The sequence below is a fragment of the Homo sapiens genome, chromosome 17 (genome assembly GCF_000001405.40).
Source record: "Homo sapiens chromosome 17, GRCh38.p14 Primary Assembly".
Classification (NCBI taxonomy): Eukaryota; Metazoa; Chordata; class Mammalia; order Primates; family Hominidae; genus Homo; species Homo sapiens.
In genome coordinates, this window is record NC_000017.11 from 67,466,360 (window position 1) to 67,485,971 (window position 19,612).

At 45.0% G+C, this 19,612-nt stretch overlaps 1 protein-coding gene and 2 non-coding genes across 5 annotated transcripts in view, besides 1 other annotated feature; 2 read left to right on the forward strand and 1 right to left on the reverse strand.

The window, feature by feature from the left end:
* PITPNC1 (phosphatidylinositol transfer protein cytoplasmic 1) overlaps positions 1-19,612 on the forward strand; it is a 319,976-nt gene that overhangs the window by 89,079 nt on the left and 211,285 nt on the right. The gene's annotated exons all lie outside the window — the stretch shown is intronic.
* MIR548D2 (microRNA 548d-2) lies at positions 5,130-5,226 on the reverse strand. The gene has a single exon (NR_030385.1). It is a non-coding gene; the product is annotated as a microRNA 548d-2 (primary transcript).
* On the forward strand, positions 5,130-5,226 carry MIR548AA2 (microRNA 548aa-2). Its single transcript, NR_037517.1, has one exon. It is a non-coding gene; the product is annotated as a microRNA 548aa-2 (primary transcript).
* Positions 11,364-11,553: an enhancer, noted in NCBI's record as "active region_12624". NCBI's record gives its function as "activates an Ori minimal core promoter by ATAC-STARR-seq in GM12878 lymphoblastoid cells {active_cell/tissue: GM12878}" and the evidence as "EXISTENCE:reporter gene assay evidence [ECO:0000049][PMID:35858748]".

Below are 19,612 nucleotides of genomic sequence, written 5' to 3' on the forward strand. Positions count from 1 at the left end.
CATTGATTGGTTGTGGGCCTCCCACAGGTGGAGAGGTTCCCATTTGTTCAAACGCAATTTACAAACAAGGGGGCAGATGGGACCCATTAGTAGCTGAAACTCACAGCAACCAGTGCCTAGTAAAGGATTCATGCAGGGCCCTCCCACACGACCCAAAACAGCAAAGAGAAAGGGCCAGGTGTTGGCCTTTTTCTAACTCATCCCTTTTAACACAGTAAGTTCAGCAGTCCTCTAAGAGTCCCACTTCAAAGTACCCCTCTTGCCTTCCGAATTCAGTGTTGTTAGCCCTTTTGCTTGAAAAACCCCCACTCTTGGACACAGAGGAAATAGGAGTCAGATGTCTGCACCTTCTGCACCTGTGGTTTGAACAGGACCCTCTGGGAGTCGCAGGAGGAGTGCTTGGCCCTGGTGCTTGGCAGGAGGTTGGGCTGGGAGATGATGATTGCCTTGATCCTCTCTTTCAACTACTTCATTCCAACTGTTGGAATACCTCAGTAGTGAGTATTAATTTTCTTCCCCCCCAAATCCAGCAAGCAATCTAGCTCCTTAAGAGAAGACTATGTTCCTGCTATTAACAGGGCTTTGACTGTTTTTGCAAAATAATAACTGGGCATTCTTGTGTTAAGGACCATTTGTTTCCTTCACCTGCTTTTCTTCCCAATTTAGCTGAAAAGGGACCTGAGCCAGTTAGGAGATTTTTTTTTTTTTTTTTTTTTTTGAGATGAATCTTGCTCTGTCACCCAGGCTGGAGTGCAGTGACATGATCTCGGCTCACTCTCAGGTTCAAGTGATTCTCCTGCCTCAGCCTCCCAAGTAGCTGGGATTACAGGTGTGCACCACCATTCTTGGCTATTTTTTGTGTGTGTGTGTTTTTAGTAGAGATGGGGTTTCACCATGTTGGCCAGGCTGGTCTCGAACTCCTGACCTCAGGTGATCCACCCGCCTCAGCCTCCCAATGTGTTGGGATTACAGGCATGAGCCACTGTGCCCCGCTGGAGACTTTTTTTTTCTGAACTAAAATATCTTTTCAGATACAAGGTTCAGGGAGGGTGGTGTGGACCAGTGAGAGAAGTTTCATTTGCACCTTTTTCATTTTTATTCTGATCCAGAGTGACTGGAGTATTAATGGATGTTGTCATAGGCTTTTGAAGTGGCCTTGCTTGGTGATTGAGTGGCTCTCGCAAAATTCTGAATTTTGGAACCAGGTATTGCTTTCTAGCTATACTAACATGTCCCTTTAGGAGTCTAATGAGATCTGCTTTGCCTCTGCCCCAAACAGATTTGCTTTACAAGTTACTGTCACTCAGGGCAAGCTCCAAGCTCTGTATCTAAAAAGCAAAGCCACCTGCCAGCCACAACCAGGTGCATGTTGCCTTTGGGCCTTGTGTCAAAATATCTTCATCATCTAAGAATAAAACCCCCAAAGAGGTCAGCCTGATCTTGTAGAAAGCCGTCCCTGGGAAAATGATTAAATGTCAGTAAACAAGAGCATTTCAGAAACTGACATGGTCCCTAATGTTTGTGTTTAGAGACTCCTAATGTGTCAGAATTGAGTTGGAGACTTACGATGTAATTGCATGTCTTGTATTTCATGCCAGCCTCTCGGCTTGGTGCTGGGGCAGAGTGGGAAGCAGACCACAGAGCAGAGAGGGCCTCTGCCCTTTTATTGTCCTGTGAGAGAGATGGATATTCACAAATAATCCTGTCCCTAATTAATTGCAGCTGAGATAACCATTATAAAAGAAACTAGAGAGTGTGACAAGGGGTGACTATCTCTTGGTCTTGGTTGTCAGGCAATGCTATGGAAGGGTTATTTAGAGTCGTAGAAGTGTCTAGTACAACCACCAGCTGATGAAGATAGTACAGGAGGAAGCAGGCATGTTTGAGACATGGTGAGTTTCAGGCTCAATTAAGGAGCTGGAGATAGCTACCAGCTGTTAGCAACACTGGGGGCGTGCAGGAGCAGCATCAGGGACAGATTTGGGAGTCCCTTGGGGAAGCCGTGGTGAAGCCACAGGAATGAACAGGTGGCTTTCTTTCCTTTTTTTTTTTTTTTTTTTGAGATGGAGTCTCACTCTGCCGCCCAGGCTGGAGTGCAGTGGCATGATCTCGGCTCACTGCAAGCTCTGCCTCCCAGGTTCTGGCCATTCTCCTGCCTCAGCCTCCCGAGTAGCTGGGACTACTGGTGCCCACCACCACGCCCAGCTAAATTTTTTTGTAGTTTTAGTAGAGACGGGGTTTCACCGTGTTAGCCAGGAGGGTCTCGATCTCCTGACCTCGTGATCCGCCCACCTCAGCCTCCCAAAGTGCTGGGATTACAGGTGTGAACCACCGTGCCTGGCCGCTTTTTTTTTTGAGACGGAGTCTTGTTCTGTTGCCCAGGCTGGAGTGCAGTGGCACTATCTCGGCTCACTGCAACCTCTGCCTCCCAGGTTCAAGCGATTCTCCTGCCTCCACCTCCCAGGTTCAAGCGATTCTCCTGCCTCAGCCTCCCAAGTAGCTGGGATCACAGGCACCCACCACCACGCCTGGCTAATTTTTGTATTTTTAGTAGAGACGAGGTTTCGCCATGTTGGCCAGGCTGGTCTCAAACTCCTGACCTCAGGTGATTCGCCTGCCTCGGCCTCCCAAAGTGTTGCAATTACAGGAGTCAGCCACTGCGCCTGGCCCAGGTGACTTTCTTGAGAGAGTATGGAGAGGGATCTGGGAGAATGTCTGGATGAAACCTTCTTTAAGGGCCTGTCACCTACATGCAATAAAGACCATACTAATTGTAATAAGACCATTGTTTACTTTTTGTTCCCCAACTGGTGCAATTTTCCCAGTCCCTGTAGTAGCCCCAGGATGGCTCAGAAACTGTCTGGGTTCCTGCTGTAGACACTGTGAGAACTTCCTTTCCAAGTGTAGCCAAGCACCCGCCCCACTGCTGCAGCCTGTGCCATCCTCCCCCTTCTCTGCACACATTGCATATCCCTGTGGTCTCCGTTTTGAGCTCAGAGTGTGGGCCTCCAACCCTCAGCACCGTATCACTCCGTAGCTTATTAGAAATGCAGAATCTGCAGCCCCCGCCCAGCTTGCTGAATCAGCCTCTGTGTTTTAACAAGATCCCCGGGATCTGTCTGCCTGTTGACAAGGGAGAAGCCTGGTCTCGGTTACCTCCTCCTCAGCGTCCTGAGCCTGGCTGGATCGCCAGCACACTCAGACCAGCGGCCCCAGGCTCTTGTGACAGCAGCCGTCAGACCCGTGGGAGTTCAGGTGCGGGTCATCAGGGCCCTGCTGGCTACTCCACCTCTCTGGGTCCCTCAGCTCAGAGATTCCACTTGAGTGTAGAGAGAATTGTTCCCCTCTGCTCTGGTGCCCTCTTTGCACTAATGTTTAGGGACCTAGAAAGGGCATCAGGAAATAAGACAGAACAAAAGCCACCAAGAGGAAGAAGGAAATTCAAGTGCCATAGCTATAGAGAGGCTCAGGAGGATAAAAACAAAGCAATAGCAGGGGCTGAGAGATTTTTTAAAAATCAGCTTTACTGTGATATATAATATATATATGTGTGTGTATATGTATATATATAATTTTTTTTTGAGACAGAATCTTGTTTTGTCATCCAGGCTGGAGTGCAGTTGTGCAATCTCAGCTCACTGTAACCTCCGCCTCCTGGGTTCAAGCGATTCTCCTGCCTCAGCCTCCCAAGTAGCCAGGATTATAGGCACACACCACCACACTTGGCTAATTTATGTATTTTTAGTAGAGATGGGGTTTCACCATGTCGGCCAGGCTGTTTTCAAGCTCCTGACCTCGAGTGATCTGCCCACTTTGGCCTCCCAAAATGCTGGGATTACAGGCATGAGCCACCACACCTGGCCATATTGTGATATAGCTAACATAGAATAGAACTCACTTTAAGTGTACAGCTTGATGAGTTTTAACATATATATACACACACTGTAGTCATGTAACCACTGCCCCATCAAGATACAGAACATTTCATCACCCCTAGAACTTCCCTTGTGACTTTTAGCTGTCAATTACTTCTCTCTACCCCCCACATTCCCCACTCCTGTTCCTAACAAGCACTGATCTGCTTTTGCACTAAAGTCTTGCCTTTCTTAAAGTTTCCTATAGATGCAGTCATACAGATGTAGTCTCTTGTGTCTCACTTCTTTTGCTCAACACAATGTTTTTGAAATTCATCCATATTCCCCGTCCGGGAGGGAGGTGGGGGGGGTCAGCCCCCCTGCCCGGCCAGCCGCCCCGTCCGGGAGGTGAGGGGCACCTCTGCCCGGCCGCCCCTACTGGGAAGTGAGGAGCCCCTCTGCCCGGCCACCACCCCGTCTGGGAGGTGTACCCAACAGCTCATTGAGAACAGGCCAGGATGACAATGGCGGCTTTGTGGAATAGAAAGGCGGGAAAGGTGGGGAAAAGATTGAGAAATCGGATGGTTGCCGTGTCTGTGTAGAAAGAAGTAGACATGGGAGACTTTTCATTTTGTTCTGCACTAAGAAAAATTCCTCTGCCTTGGGATCCTGTTGATCTGTGACCTTACCCCCAACCCTGTGCTCTCTGAAACATGTGCTGTGTCCACTCAGGGTTAAATGGATTAAGGGCGGTGCAAGATGTGCTTTGTTAAACAGATGCTTGAAGGCAGCATGCTCGTTAAGAGTCATCACCAATCCCTAATCTCAAGTAATCAGGGACACAAACACTGCGGAAGGCCGCAGGGTCCTCTGCCTAGGAAAACCAGAGACCTTTGTTCACTTGTTTATCTGCTGACCTTCCCTCCACTATTGTCCCATGACCCTGCCAAATCCCCCTCTGTGAGAAACACCCAAGAATTATCAATAAAAAAATAAATTAAAAAAAAAATGTAAAAAAAAAAAATGTAAAAAAAAAAAAAAAAGAAATTCATCCATATTATTGGATGTATCAATAGTTTGTTCCTTTTTATTGCATAGTAGCATTCCCCTGAATGGATATACCACAGTCTGTTTATTCATTTACCAGTTGATGGACATTTGGGTTACTTCCAGTTTTGGATGATTTTGAGTAAAGTTGCAATGAACATTCACATACAAGTCCTTGTGTGGACCTACGTCTTCATTTGAGAGATTTTTTTCCTTTTAAACTTTTTATTTTATTAGGTTGGTGCAAAAGAAACTGTGGTTTTTGCCATTACTTTCAATGGCAAAAACCACAATTACTTTTGCACCAACCTAAATCTTCCCTCTCTCTGGATTTGCAATTATTCTGTAAATCTAAAGTTAACTTTAGCTAAATCAGGTTGACATCATATACCCCCTAAAGTTAACTTTAGATTTACAGAAGAGTTGCAAATCCAGAGAACCCCCCGTAGTCTTCATCCACCTTCCCCCAATGTTAATATCGTACTAATTATGATACATTTATCAAAACTCAAAAATTAACATGGGCACAGTTGTATTAACTAAACTCCCGACTTTCTTCAGATTTCACCAGTTTTTTCCACTAATGTCCTTTTTCTGTTCCAGGATTTAATCAGGATATAATGTTGCACTTAATTATTATATCATAATAGTCACTTTCAATCTATGTCAATTTCTCTGTCTCTCCTTGTTTTTTTATGACTTTGACATTTATGAAGTGGGCTGGTCAAGTATTTTGTAGGATGTCCCTCAATCTGGATTTGTCTGATGTTTTCTGATCATTAGACTGCAGTTGGGGTTTGGGGAAAGAATACCCCAGAGGTGAAATGGCCTTCTCATCACATAATATTAGGGGGCACATGATATCTACCTGATTGCTCACTGGTGAAGTTAACCTTGATCACTTGGTTAAGGCGTTGTCTACCAGAGTTACCCACCGTAAGCTGCTAATTTCCCTTTCCATACTCTGTTCCAGGGGTGTCCAATCTTTTGGCTGCCCTGGGACACATTGGAAGAAGAATTGTCTTGGGCAACACATAAAATACATCATTAACACTATGACAGCTGTTGAGCTAAAAAAAAAAAAAAAAAAAAAAAAAAAAAAAAGGACCGGGTGCGGTGGCTCACACCTGTAATCCCAACACTTTGGGAGGCCGAGGCGGGTGGGTCACGAGGTCAGGAGATCGAGACCATCCTGGCTAACACAGTGAAACCCCATCTCTACTAAAAATAGAAAAAATTAGCCGGGCGTGGTGGTGGGCGCCTGTAGTCCCAGCTACTCAGGAGGCTGAGGCAGGAGAATGGTGTGAATCCAGGAGGAGGAGTTTGCAGTAAGCCGAGATTGCACCACTGCACTCCAGCCTGGGTGACAGAGGGAAACTCTGTCTCAAAAGAAAAAAAAAAAAAAAGGTCTGTGCATAAATATCATAATGTTTTAAGAAAGTTTATGAATTTGTGTTGGGCCACATTCAAAGCTGTCCTGGGCCACGGGTTGGACAAGCTTACCGTCTATTCATTAGAAGTGAGTCACTCAGGGGAGGGAGATTAGGCCCTGCCTCCTACAGGGAGGGGTTTCAAAGAATTTGTGGACATATGCTAAAACCAGCACCATAATTAATGTGGTATTTTTTTTTTTTTGACGGAGTCTTGCTCTGTAGCCCAGGCTGGAGTGCAGTGGCCTGATCTCGGCTCACTGCAAGCTCTGCCTCTCAGGTTCATGCCATTCTCCTGCCTCAGCCTCCTGAGTAGCTGGGACTACAGGTGCGCACCACCATGCCCAACTAATTTTTTTGTATTTTTAGTAGAGAAGGGGTTTCACCATGTTAGCCAGGATGGTCGCGATCTCCTGACCTCGTGATCCACCCGCCTTGGCCTCCCAAAATGCTGGGAATACAGGTGTGAGCCACCGTGCCCGGCCAATTAATGTATTTTTATTATTTTAAAAGTTATTCTTATTTTTAGAGATAGAGTCTCACTATGTTGCCCATGCTGGTCTTGAACTCCTGGGCTCAAGCTGTCTACCCACCTCGGCCTCCTAAGTGCTGGGATTATAGGCGTGAGCCACTTTACCTGGCCTGCTTGTTTTTTTGAGACAGAGTCTCGCTCTGTCGCCCAGGCTGGAGTTCAGTGGCACAATCTCGGCTCACTGCAAGCTCCACCTCCTGGGTTCACGCCATTCTCCTGCCTCAGCCTCCCGAGTAGCTGGGACTACAGGCGCCCGCCACTACATCCGGCTAATTTTTTTGTATTTTTTTAGTAGAGACGGGGTTTCACCGACCTCGTGATCTGCACGCCTCAGCCTCCCAAAGTGCTGGGATTACAGGTGTGAGCCACCGCCCCCGGCCCTGGTGTGCTTTTTAATATTTTTTGGAGATGGGGTCTTGTTATGTTTCCCAGGCTGGCCTTGAACTCCTGAGCTCAAGTGATGCTCATGCCTCAGCCTTCAGAGTAGCAGGCATTACAGGTGCATGCCACCTCACCTGGCTAATAAATGTTTTTGGAGGGATGTGTTGAGCCTATGCAGGTATCCTGTTTCCCCTTAAAGTTTGCCCATGAACTTAACATTCCTCAGTGGACCCTGCCTGCAGCTATTATTACTGTAATGTTCTCCTGGTGATTTTCTATTCTCCCATGCCTTCTGCCTTTATTACATGGAATTCTTCTGTAAGGGAAATTTGTTTCTTCTCCAGGTATTTGTTTATCTATCCTCTCATTTATTTATATCAGTGTGGACTCACAAGTACTTATTTTATTCTCTGGGTGAGAGATGTTTTTAAGATGGGAAAATGGACTACTTTAAGTTAACCTAACTGTGAGCCAGGTAGCAGGAGGTGTGGGGAGGAGGAGCATAGATGCTGGGGGAGGAATGGGCGGTGGATGGAGCGAAGTTCCTAGGAAGGTCAGTGAGAAGGAGATCCGGAGGTGGGGGTCTTGGCAAAAACAAGGGACACCCTGTTCCCACAAATGGGTAAGAGGAAAGTTTGGGAGGGTCGATTTCCATGTCAGGAAGGAGAACTTGAAGGAGTTCCAACTAATTAGCTTTTGTCTTCTCCGTCAAGATGTTTTCTGTGACGACAATGGGAAGTTGACTTTTGGAATTTTAATTGTCTTGGCCAAAATTCCTGGCCTCTAGAGTAACGTTTCTCAACCTCAGCCCTGCCGACATTTGGAGCAGATAATTCATTGTTGTGGGAGCCGTCTTGTGCATTGCAGGCTGTGTCGCAGCATCCCTGGCCTCTACCCTCTAGATGCTTTAGTGCCCTCTCCTGTTTCCCCAGCAGTGACCACCAAAATGTCTCCAGGCAGTGTCAAATGTGCCCTGGGGAGCAAAATCGCCCCATGCTGAGAACCACAGATCTAAAATTAACACACACAATTCTGGCAATCCGTAGGATTCTTCTTCTCTTTATTTTTATTTTTTTGTCTCCCTCTGTTGCCAAGGCTGGAGTGCAGTGGCATGATCCATAGCTCATTGCAGCCTTGACCTCCCGGGCTCAAACAATCCTCCCACCTCAGCCTCCTGAGAAGCTAGGACTGCAGGTGCACACCACCATGCCCGGCGGCTTTTTTTTTTTTCTTGAAGAGGGGGACTCACTGTGTTGCTCAGGCTGGTCTCAAACTCTTGGGCTCAAGCAGTCCTCCTACCTCAGCCTCCCAAAGTGTTGGGATTATAGGCATGAGCCACTGCATCCAGCCCACGGGATTCTTGACCATTACTTTGAAAGACTAAGATGATGGCATTCACCTATTAATTTTCTGCAGAAAGAGCTAAGCTGCTCTAGTGTGAACACTCAACGTTGACGCTATGGATGAGGGAGGGCCCTGCTTTCTTGGGAATAGCGGATGGTCCTTTCAGCACACAGCACAGATGAATGAAGAGGAAATGAAGTTCTGGTTCGCAGAGGGTCTTTGGTTCTGAAAAGCGTTGCCGTGGTTCTAGCCTTCCTCGCGGTGGAGGGTGTTTTGCTTTCTGCGCGGTTTCTGTGTGGGCCGTGGGAAGCAACTTGATTGTTATCACAGTTGGGGACACAGCAGCTCTTCTCATAGGTTAATTTCTGAAAGCCCATTTGTTCTAAATCCAACGTGACGCCTACCGAGCTGGGTACAACATTGGTTTGTTTCATAAAACAGCCCGGGGTGTTTGGGACTCTTACTCCTTTACAACTCTCATTTGACTGTCCAAAGATGCTTGCACTGGGGCCTAATTTTCTGTCACCTTCCCTACGTTTTTAACAAGACACTGCCATTTCAAACATAGCGAACACGACAGATTGAGGAACAAGGCCAAGGCAGAGGCTGCGACGACCTCGTACAGCCGCTGATGCCATCTGTTGGTGGCTGGCAGAACTGATGCCCTTTGCTGCGAGGGAGCTTTGTTTATTGCACAGAAAGTTGAAAGTTGGCAGCAGAGAACCTTGTTACCACCTGGGAGGATAGGATTGGCAGGATTAGGGAGGACTGGAAGGGGAGGGAATGCGTGTTTGCTTTGTAGGTTGTGCATCAGTAAGCACAATCAGGATTCAGTGCCAGGAATCCATAGTTGAAACAATTTTAGGAGGATTTTTCAAGGTTCTGGCTGGGATGCCATGGGGACCTCCAATCCATTTCTCAGTCGACTGTCAGTTAAGGCATTGGGCTGTGGGAAGTTAACAGAGCAACAGAGCGGTCTCTAACGTAAAAAAACCCCAGTGTCTCCCATAGAGCTAGCATGCAGTCCTTATTTGTGGAATTTGATATTGAGGGACAGTATTAACTCCTCACTCTAATCAAAGAAGCTATGATAATATGATGCAAAACAACTATTATATTCTATCCCCTTCCAAAGTGCTTTCAAAGACTAAATTTGTCTTGATACCAATCCATTTATACCAACACATCCCCACATTTCTGATGATGAAACAGATTCCTAGAGACTAAATTTCTTTCTTTTCTTTTTTTTTTTTTTTGAGATGGAGTCTCGCTTTGTCACCCAGGCTGGAGTGCAGTGGCACGATCTTGGGTCACTGCAGCCTCTGTCCCCCCAGGTTCAAGTGATTGCCCTGCCTCAGCCTCCTGAGGAGCTGGGATTACAGGCATGCACCACCATGCCCGGCTAATTTTTGTATTTTTAGTGGAGACGGGGTTTCCCCATGTTGGCCAGGCTGGTCTTGAACTCCTGACCTCAGGTAATTCACCCGCCTTGGCCTCCCAAAGTGCTGGGATTAAGGTGTTACCCACCACGCCCGGCCTAGAGACTAAATTTCTTAGGTCCATATGTCTGCTTGATAGCAAGAGCTGGAATTAGTTCAGCCAGTGGGTTCTTAACTCTGGATGCATATAAGAATCACCTGGGAAACAAAAAAAAATCTTAGTGGTTGGCTTCACTCTCAGATATACAGATTTATTTTTTAATTTTTGTTTATTTTTTTGTAGAGATGGGGTCTCACTATGTTGCCCAGGCTGGTCTTGAATTCCTGGGCTCAAGCAATACTCCCACCTCCACCTCCCAAAGTTCTGGCATTACAGGTGTGAGCCACTGTGCCTGGCCAGATATATGGATTAACGGGGCCGGGCCAGGGCTGGGTCCTGGGCTGTGATTCTAACCTGCTGCCTGGGGTTGAAGCGCTTCTCCTCCAGGTGTGGTCCATGAACCAGTCGCATCAGCATCACCTGCGAGCTTGTTAGAAATGCAGAGTCTCAGGCCCCACCCCAGACCCTCTGAATCAGAACCTGCATTGCAACAAGGTTCTCAGATGATTCCTGTGCATGGCGAAGTTTGGAAACTCTGAGTGTTGCTTTTGAGATCAGACATACAGTGCTATCCATTGGTGTCTGTGGAGGATGTCTTATTTGTTTATTTATGAGACAGGTCTCTGTCACCAGGGCTGGAGTGCAATGGCATGATCGCAGCACACTGCAGCCTCTACCTTCTGGGCTCAAGGGACCCTCCTGCCTCAGCCCCCCAAGTACCTGAGACTACAGGTGTGTGCCAACACACCCAGCTCTTTTTTTTTTTTTTTTTTTTTTGAGATGGAGTTTCACTCTTATTGCCCAGGCTGGAGTGCAATGGCACAGTCTTCACTCACTGCAACCTCTGCCTCCCGGGTTCAAGCGATTCTCCTGCCTCAGCCTCCCAAGTAGCTGGGATTACAGGCATATGCCACTACACCAGCTGATTTTGTATTTTTAGTAGAGATGGGGTTTCACTATGTTGGTTAAACTGGTCTCGAACTCCTGACCTCAGCTGATCCACCCATCTTGGCCTCCCAAAATGCTGGGATTACAGACGTGAGCCACCGTGTCCAGCCTGCCCAGCTCATTTTTATTTATTTATTTATTTTTTGGTAGAGACAGGGTCTTGCTATGTTGCCCAGGCTGGTCTTGAACTCCTGGCCTTAAGTGATCCTCCACCTCAGCCCCCCAAAGTACTTGGATTACAGATTACAGGCATAAGCCACCGCATCAGGTCTGTTTAATTTTTACCATTCAGACAGCACTCAAGGCCTAGTGTGAGTGGCCTCCATCGAGGGCCCTGGGCTTCCCTCTACCCTGAGGGTTCCATGTGCCTCCCAGGTTGAAGCCATGAGAGAGTCCAGAACTACCCCCACCCCAAAAAAAGTCTTGCTCATGGCCAGCTGAGTGTTCCACAGCCCTTGATTTCTGGGTGTGTCATAATGTAGTCACCAAGTCAGGCCTGTGGGCTGCCTCTGGGTCCTTCCTGTTGAGAGTGATGGCATGTCACTGCTGGCTTCCCCGAGGATGAGAGGTTCAACTTGTTTGGTTCGGCCCCTAAGATTCTCTTACATTACCTCTAGCTCAGACACTCTGCTTGTATTGGAAAACTGGGAGGCAGTGCCTTTTCCTCTTTCTTCCTTTCTGAAATAGAAGGTACTCAGTAGATGTTGGATTTGGAATATTGGAATGAAATGAAGGCTGTGTGGGCCTCTGGGCAGCCTTTGGTGTTAGAAACAGGCTTCATCCCTGCTGGACTTGAGTTTCAGTTGAGGAGCTCCTATCTGGGCAGCACTCTTCACCAGCAAAGGCTGTCCGTGGTCTTTTGAAAAGAGATCTTTTTTAGTTCATTTCTTAAAATCCAGTGCTATATGAGAGCCAGTCTGATCTTTTCTAAATCTGTACTTTCATTTTGGGTAGCGCCTAAAAGAGACACAGCAGTCCCTGTTCAACCTCTTTTCGGGAAACCAAGAGCCTTGGCTGCTTATTCATCCCTTCTCTGCCGTTTTCAACAACAAACCCCCTTTGATGAAAGACCATTCTGAGACAGGCTAGAGCTGGTTCCCCTTTTATTTCTCCTCTTTTCCAAGCTCCCCTCTGCCACCTCCTGTATCTCTTCCAACCTTCCTCCCCCAAAGAAAAACAACAACAAACCAAACTTTGAAAAAACAAGGGAGGCTTGTCCCCATTGGTGAAATCCCTTGAAAGGATGTCACTGAGAAAGGGTCTCTGTGGCCCTCTTTTTCCGCAAGCGTTGGGAGGTCTCTGAGGATCTGACCTGGGGAGACTGGAGCGCTAATTATACGCACAGAAGCCATTCATTAGTTGCCACTAGCAAGAAGACTTGGCCAATGCTCACTCCTCTGAATTCAGAGGTTTTGAAAGAACCCCAAACTGAGCCTGCGACTTTCTTCAATCTTTTTTTTTTTTTAATATATATATATTTCTTTCTTCTCCAGCCTCTCTGTTCTCCTCTGTTGCCCACAGCAACCTCAGCAGTTGGTACCAGCACAGAGTGGAGAGGGCAGGCCAGGTTACCTCGGTGTCAAGCAATCATTACTGAGCAATTCACCAGAGCCTCACAAAGAAACAGATTTCTCTGAAAATCTCCCGATCCAAACCACCCCCAATATTTAACCAGCAACTCCCCAACCCTACCTTTCCTGAGAGGTCCGTGTTTTCTAGTACCTGAGCAGACAGTTATGAGCCACTGCCTCCCTGCCTTTTTGAGGCCTTTCTTTACCAACAATGCTTTGTTAACTCTTTAACACACTTTCCTGATGTTCACACTTTCTGCCTACCACACACACGTCCAGTAGAGACAGACAAGGGGGAGAATTAAATGATTAGCCAGCAGCTGCCCATGAGGAACAGGCAGTCAGGCCATAGGTTTTTCCCTTTTCCGCTTTACCATGAGACAGTGCTTTGTCAAAAGGAAGTGCCAAAGTTGTCATGGAAATAAATCATTAGCTAGATTGAGCTATCTTTAATTTGGGCGGGAGTCTGCCATTAATATGTCTAAATCTCAGTTTACAAATGAGCACTTGATGACTTGATTCCTGACACTTATTCTTGTGATTCTTTTGAATCTCAATTAGTAAGACTTTCTTTCTCATAGAATGCCATACGGCTTCTTGGAACAAAGGACAAACGGGTAGAATGCTTGAAACAGACCAAATCAAAGATTATGATTTTTTTTTCTGAAGGGAAGAAAAAAATAAAATTGGAAAAATAAAAATAAGGCTTATCATGATATCCTGCCGTCTGATTTCTAAAAGTACAGTTCCTTTAGGTTCTAAGGACTGGCATGTTCTTTGTGATATTTGTCAATGACATGTGAAATGTGCTCTGAGTAAAGGCATTTTCTTCTGCAATGTTCATTTCTATTTCAATGGTCTGCCTCAGTACTTTTCTTTAATTAATACTGTTTATGCTCACTGATGAATAATTCAGAGTTGTACAAGCAACAGATGTCAGCGGATTCAAAATGACTTTCCCTGAATTATTTATTATTTCCAAAAAAGTAACAGGTTTGTTGAACAAGTAATTGGCAACACAGATGTAGATCAAGGTTTGTCAGCAGGCAACAAGTTTCACTACTGTTTCCCCTTTTGTGCATGTTGATAACCAGGATGGCATTGTCTAGGAGCGGGGGTCTGCCTGATACCACTGCTTAGGGAGTCATTGACCCATCCTGTTGCTGACTTGGAGAGCTGGAACCTTAGTTGGTTTCCAGGTTGTCTAACGATGAAACATGAATGGAAATTCATCCAAAAATGTAATTAATGAATGTAGGCTTGTAAATATCTCGCAGACAGAATGACTTAATACAGGTGCCCAGAAAGAGGGAACATCTTTGTTTGCAGGGATATGTTAAGAATAGAGACCTAGAAGAAAAATAATTTGACAGATATGTAAAGGTTTATGTATAAGAATGTTCTCTGCAGTGCTGTTTATGACAGAATTTTTGCAAGGAGACAACTCAACGTCCAACAATGAAAGACTGGTTAGATAAATTCTGGTAGATCCAAGCAGTGAAATATTATATCACCACTGTAATGATATATATGTATTTTTGATCTGGAAAAATGTCAACATATTAAATAAAAGATGATATTAAGTGAGAGAGTCTATAAACCGATATGGCTTATTTCTGTAGGAAAATACATGTATGTATTTTTTTTTGTAGGCATAGGGAAAAGTCTAGAAGGAACTACCCCAAAATATTAATAGTGGTTATTTAGGGGTAGTAGGATCCAGCATGACTTTTCTTCTGTCTCACATATTTTGCCATCATTTTCACTGTAAGTATGCTTATGTTATGAATCTCAGTTAATACGACTTTCTTTCTCATAGAATGCCATACCTCTTCTTGGAACAAAGCACACATGGGTAGAAGGCTAAGCTGCTGTAACAAGAGATCCAACAACATTGTGACTTAAAGAAATAAATCTCAGGCTGGGTACTGTGGCTCATGCCTGTAATCCCAGCAATTTGGGAGGCTGAGGTGGGCGGAGCACCTGACATCAGGAGTTCGAGACCAGCCTGGCCAGCATGGCAAAACCCCATCTCTACAAAAAATACAAAAATTAGCTGGGCGCAGTGGTGCACGCCTGTAACCCCAGCTACTTAGGAGGCTGAGGCAGGAGAATCCCTTGAACCCAGGAGGCGGAGGTTGCAGTGCGCTGAGATCGTGCCACTGCACCTCCAGCCTAGGCGACAGAGCGAGACCTGGCCTGCCTTGTTATCTTCTAAAGAGCCAAGTCTGGGTGCTGTCGTGAGAAGGAAACATGGGTATGGAAGAGGCACAACTTGCCGTCTCAAGGCCCTGGTCCAAAAGTGGCCCATATCACTCCTGCTCCCAGCCCTTAGCAGGGACATAGGCACATGGCCATACTCCACTGCCAGCTGCAAAGCAGGCTGGGAACAAAATCCTTACAGGCATTTATGTGACCAGCAATAGCTCTGTGCTATGGAGAAAAGAGAAAAGGAATTTTGCTGGGACAGCTTTCGGTCTCTGCTAAATTTATTGATTGATTTTCAAATTTTTTTTAGATATGAGGTCTTGCTTTGTTGCCCAGGTAGGTCTTGAACTCCTGGGCTCAAGCGATTCCCCCACCTTGGCCTCCCAAAGTGGGATTACAGGCATGAGCTACCATGCCCAGCTGCTACTAAATTTATTACCCGTAAAATAAAAATAAAAATAAATTTAAAAAGGAAGTTGAGTTTTGATTCGATGTCTTCAGAGGGCATTTCCTTTTGGAATTAATCATACAGAAGATGTATACTCTGAAGCAATTTGAAGATTTAAAAAAAAAAAAAGGAAAGGTATAAAATGTGGACACTGCCTTCCAGGGATTTACAGTCTGATTGAGAAACCGGACCAATAACAATTCGAAGTAGTATATGCAAAAGGCCAGAGAGTGTTCAGATAAGTGCAGAGGAGCAAATTGGCTAGGGTCATGGAATAAGGCTTAGATAAATTGAAAGGCTTGCAATTCTGCTTTGTTGAGCTACCAGGATTACTTGTACTTTTGGAAGAAATAAAACTATTTGTGTTTTGTGACATTTTAGGGTAGCGTGACCTCCCCTTACAACACAGAGGAACTGAATCATATTTTCCTACTGACTGACTAACAGTAATTTAAGACTCTAATTGGTCTTCCGTTAGCTGTCATTTATTGTAATTCTTTGTGAAATGCACATGATCTTTAACATAAAATATCTTGGAAGAGCTACAACTTAAAGGAAACTTGACTTGATAATGTAAAAATTATCTTTTAAATAATTTTTTAAATATATGGTTTTAAAGCTTTTTAATATGGTTATCTTGAGTAGGGTATTTCTAGGCTTATTTGGAAGGCAAACCAAAAAGCATAGAGAGTTTTTTTTCCTCCCTTGGATAGAAATTTTTCTGTCTTTAATAGATTAATGGTAATCATATAACACATTACCTCCTTCACAATAAGATCAAATTTTGCAAATCTTTTGCCTTGAATCAGATTCTTCAACTCTGGAGTTTAGGTTAGTAGAACCCAAAAATATGTTGTTTTATGCACAAAGCCTCGCAAAGTCAAGTGGTAGATTTTGACCTCTTCTTTAACCTACCCTGAATGTAGTCCCTTAAAACATGATGGAATCCACATTTGGTATTTCCCTGCTATTTCATGAGATGCAACAAAATGTTTCAAGGGAGACAGTAGGAACCATTTGGTGCTTTGGTGATCTTTTCAGGAAAATCTGGTTTCGGAAGCCCCATAAGGCGAGAATTATTGCAAATAAGGCCCAGATTTGAAAATTGCTGTTTTGCAAATTGTGCTTATTCTAGGAATAATGATTTCTACAGCTGGGAAGAACTTTAAAAATTGGGTGAACCAGTTGCCTGCTTTGACAGATGAGGTACTGCAATGCAGAGAGGTCAAGCTAGTTGCTGGGGTCACCTAGCTCATTTGTGACAAAACTAGGAACCGTGGGTCTGACTCAGTCCTCTGCCCTGCCGCCCTGTACCACAGTAGGCCTCTCTATATTATGCCGCTTGGTAGTCACCCACCTTGCTTCCTACCATCAAAAGGAACTTCTGGTAGAAACTCCTTTCACAGCCTCCTGATCTGCAGGAGTGATGAATTTAGCCTGGGATGAACTGGGAGTGGCAGAGCCATCTTTAAACCCCAGGTCCTTTCTGGATGCTTTGTTTGCAGAAGAGCTGCAGAGATCATGAGGGACATTTCTTGATTCATATTAATCAGAAACTCATTTGGGGCAGAATTTGAACTTGTAGCCAATTTTATAAGGAAGTTTCACAGCTAAAACCTCTCTGTGTTGTAAAAGGAGGTCATACTACCCTAAAATGTCACAAAACATTTTACTTCTTCCAAAAGTACAAGTAATCCTGGTATCCAGATAAAGAAGTTTTAATTTGTTTTTATTGGTTTACCTTGCCTCAGAGTTCTGAGTGTTGGATTTTCACTGTGACAACAAAAATAAAATATTTCCTGCTTATTGTAAAGCGGTCAAAGAGCTGAAAAGCAATACCATCTTTTAGAATGCATTTCTTACCCTTCTTTGATCAACATTAAGATGCGTTGCCACTCTGGGGTATGATTCTGGTTTGATCGTTGCAGTGTTTTGGAAAATGTTTGATGGCCTATAGGTTTATTGATTTCAAAGACTGTAAATCCATCTGCCCATCTATCCATCATTCACCCTCCTATCTGAGAGCAGTGTGGGAAGCTTCTACTGAAGTACCAATAACTTGGATTGGTAGCCTTCAAGCCCTGGGGGGACTTGGTAATTCCACACTTAAGTTTTTCTACCTGAAAAACATATAGCTCTTAAATTTCAAAATACAGCTTCGTTTATGCCTGAAGAGGAGAAGTTTCATAACGCAGCCAGCACTGTTGGTTGTCATGCAATAACCATTCTCCCTTCACCCTTGCTAACGTTTTCTTTCTTTTTTTTTTTTTTTTTGAGGTGGAGTTTTGCTCTTGTTGCCCAGGCTGGAGTGCCGTGGCATGATCTTGGCTCACTGCAACCTCCACCTCCCAGGTTCAAGCGATTCTCCTGCCTCAGCCTCCCAAGTAGCTGGCATTACAGGCATGTACCACCATGCCTGGCTTATTTTGTATTTTTAGTAGAGACGGGGTTTCTCCATGTTGGTTAGGCTGGTCTCGAACTCCCCACCTCAGATGATCCGCCTGCCTTGGCCTCCCAAATTACTGGGATTACAGGGGCGAGCCTCCACACCCAGCCTGTTAATAACGCTTTTCTTCATTCCATTTTCTTGCCTGTGAGATGTGCATAAGACCCAGCTCAGAGAGTTGTTGTTGGTTCCTACTCTCTAACTTTGCCTAATTAGATTTCTGTTAAGCTTGAGATCATTTATAGCCAACTTTTTCCATATTAAAATCATAAGCCTCTGTTGAAAGGTTTTGTTAGTCCAAATTGGAACCGTCTTGACTTCGCATCAAATCATTCATCTCTAGCTCAGTCGCCACATAAGCTTGTATAATTCTCTCAGGGCTTCTGTCATTGTTAATTTACATCTGACCTTGTTCTGAAAACTATTTAAGGCAGTGGAGCCCTAACTTAGAACTTGCTGGCTTTTAACTTTGCCAGTTGGTCTGGACCTGTGAAAATATTTATCCAATCCCCTAAGAAATCAGAGTAAAGATTTTCATGAAAACTTCTAGCCGGGCACAGTGGCTCATGCCTGTAATCTCAGCACTTTGGGAGGCCGAGGTGGGCGGATCACTTGAGGTCAGGAGTTCGAGACCAGCCTGGTCAACATGGTGAAACCTAGACTCTACTAAAAATACAAAAATTAGCCAGGTGTGATGGTGTGTGCCTGTAATATCAGCTACTTTGGAGGCTGAGGTAGGGGAATCGCTTGAACCCGGGACATGGAGGTTGCAGTGAGCTGAGATCATGCTACTGCACTCCAGCCTGGGTGACAGAGCGAGACTCCATCTCAAAAAAAAAACTTCCAAAACCATTTTTACATATTGGTTTATTTTGACTCTTGATCGTTGTGCCAAGAAAGTTGATTATGACTAGCGTTTCCATCTTACAAATAGGGAAATGGAAAACTCAGAAAGGTCAAGTGACTTCCCTGAGGTTGGTAAGGAGTGGTAGAGCCAGGATTTGAACCTGGGCAGTGTAGCCACAGGGTCCTCACTCTTAACCACTTGGCTAAACTGTCTTCATATACGTATGTATGCATGTGTTTGGTTCCCGGTGGTGATGCCATGGGGAGCATTTACCATGAGCGCAGTGGGAAAAGCATGGAGCATGCTGGAAGGCATGGATGCTTACATTTTCATTCCGGATTTGTGGATTTTGCACTAGGGTATCTGCTAGGCCATGAACTAGAATTGTGTACTGAGAGTCATCATTAGTTGGGTGATTTTTTTTTTTTTTTTTTTTTGACATAGGCACTGCTCTGTCGCCCAGGCAGTGGTGTGATCTTGGCTCACAGCAACCTCCGCCTCCTGGATTCAGGCGATTCTCCTACCTCAGCCTCCTGAGTAGCTGGGATTACAGGCACTCACCACCACCCCTGGCTAATTTTTGTATTTTTAGTAGAGATGGGGTCTCACCATGTTGGCCAAGCTGGTCTCTATCCACCCACCTCAGCCTCCCAAAGTGCTGGGATTACTGGTCTCAGCCGCCGCACCCGGCCAATTAGTTAGATCTTTCTACGGAAGAACAACTGACTTGCCAATTTAGTCTGTAAGATCAGGAGTTGAGGGACATTGGAACTACAGAAAAACATTATTAAAGATGACTCTTAAGATGTCAAGAGGAAAGAAAAATGACTTCTTCGGTCAAAAAAAGAGCAAAAGCTATCACGCTGTATGAGCCACAAGCTGAAGGCTGTCTTCTGGGGGCGGCTTAAATGCATTAGATTAGTCTGCAATGTGGATTAAGGGACCGTGGGATTTAATAACTTGCGTATTAAAGAATGGCTCTGCAAATGTTACCCTAACATAAAAATGTAAGCATTC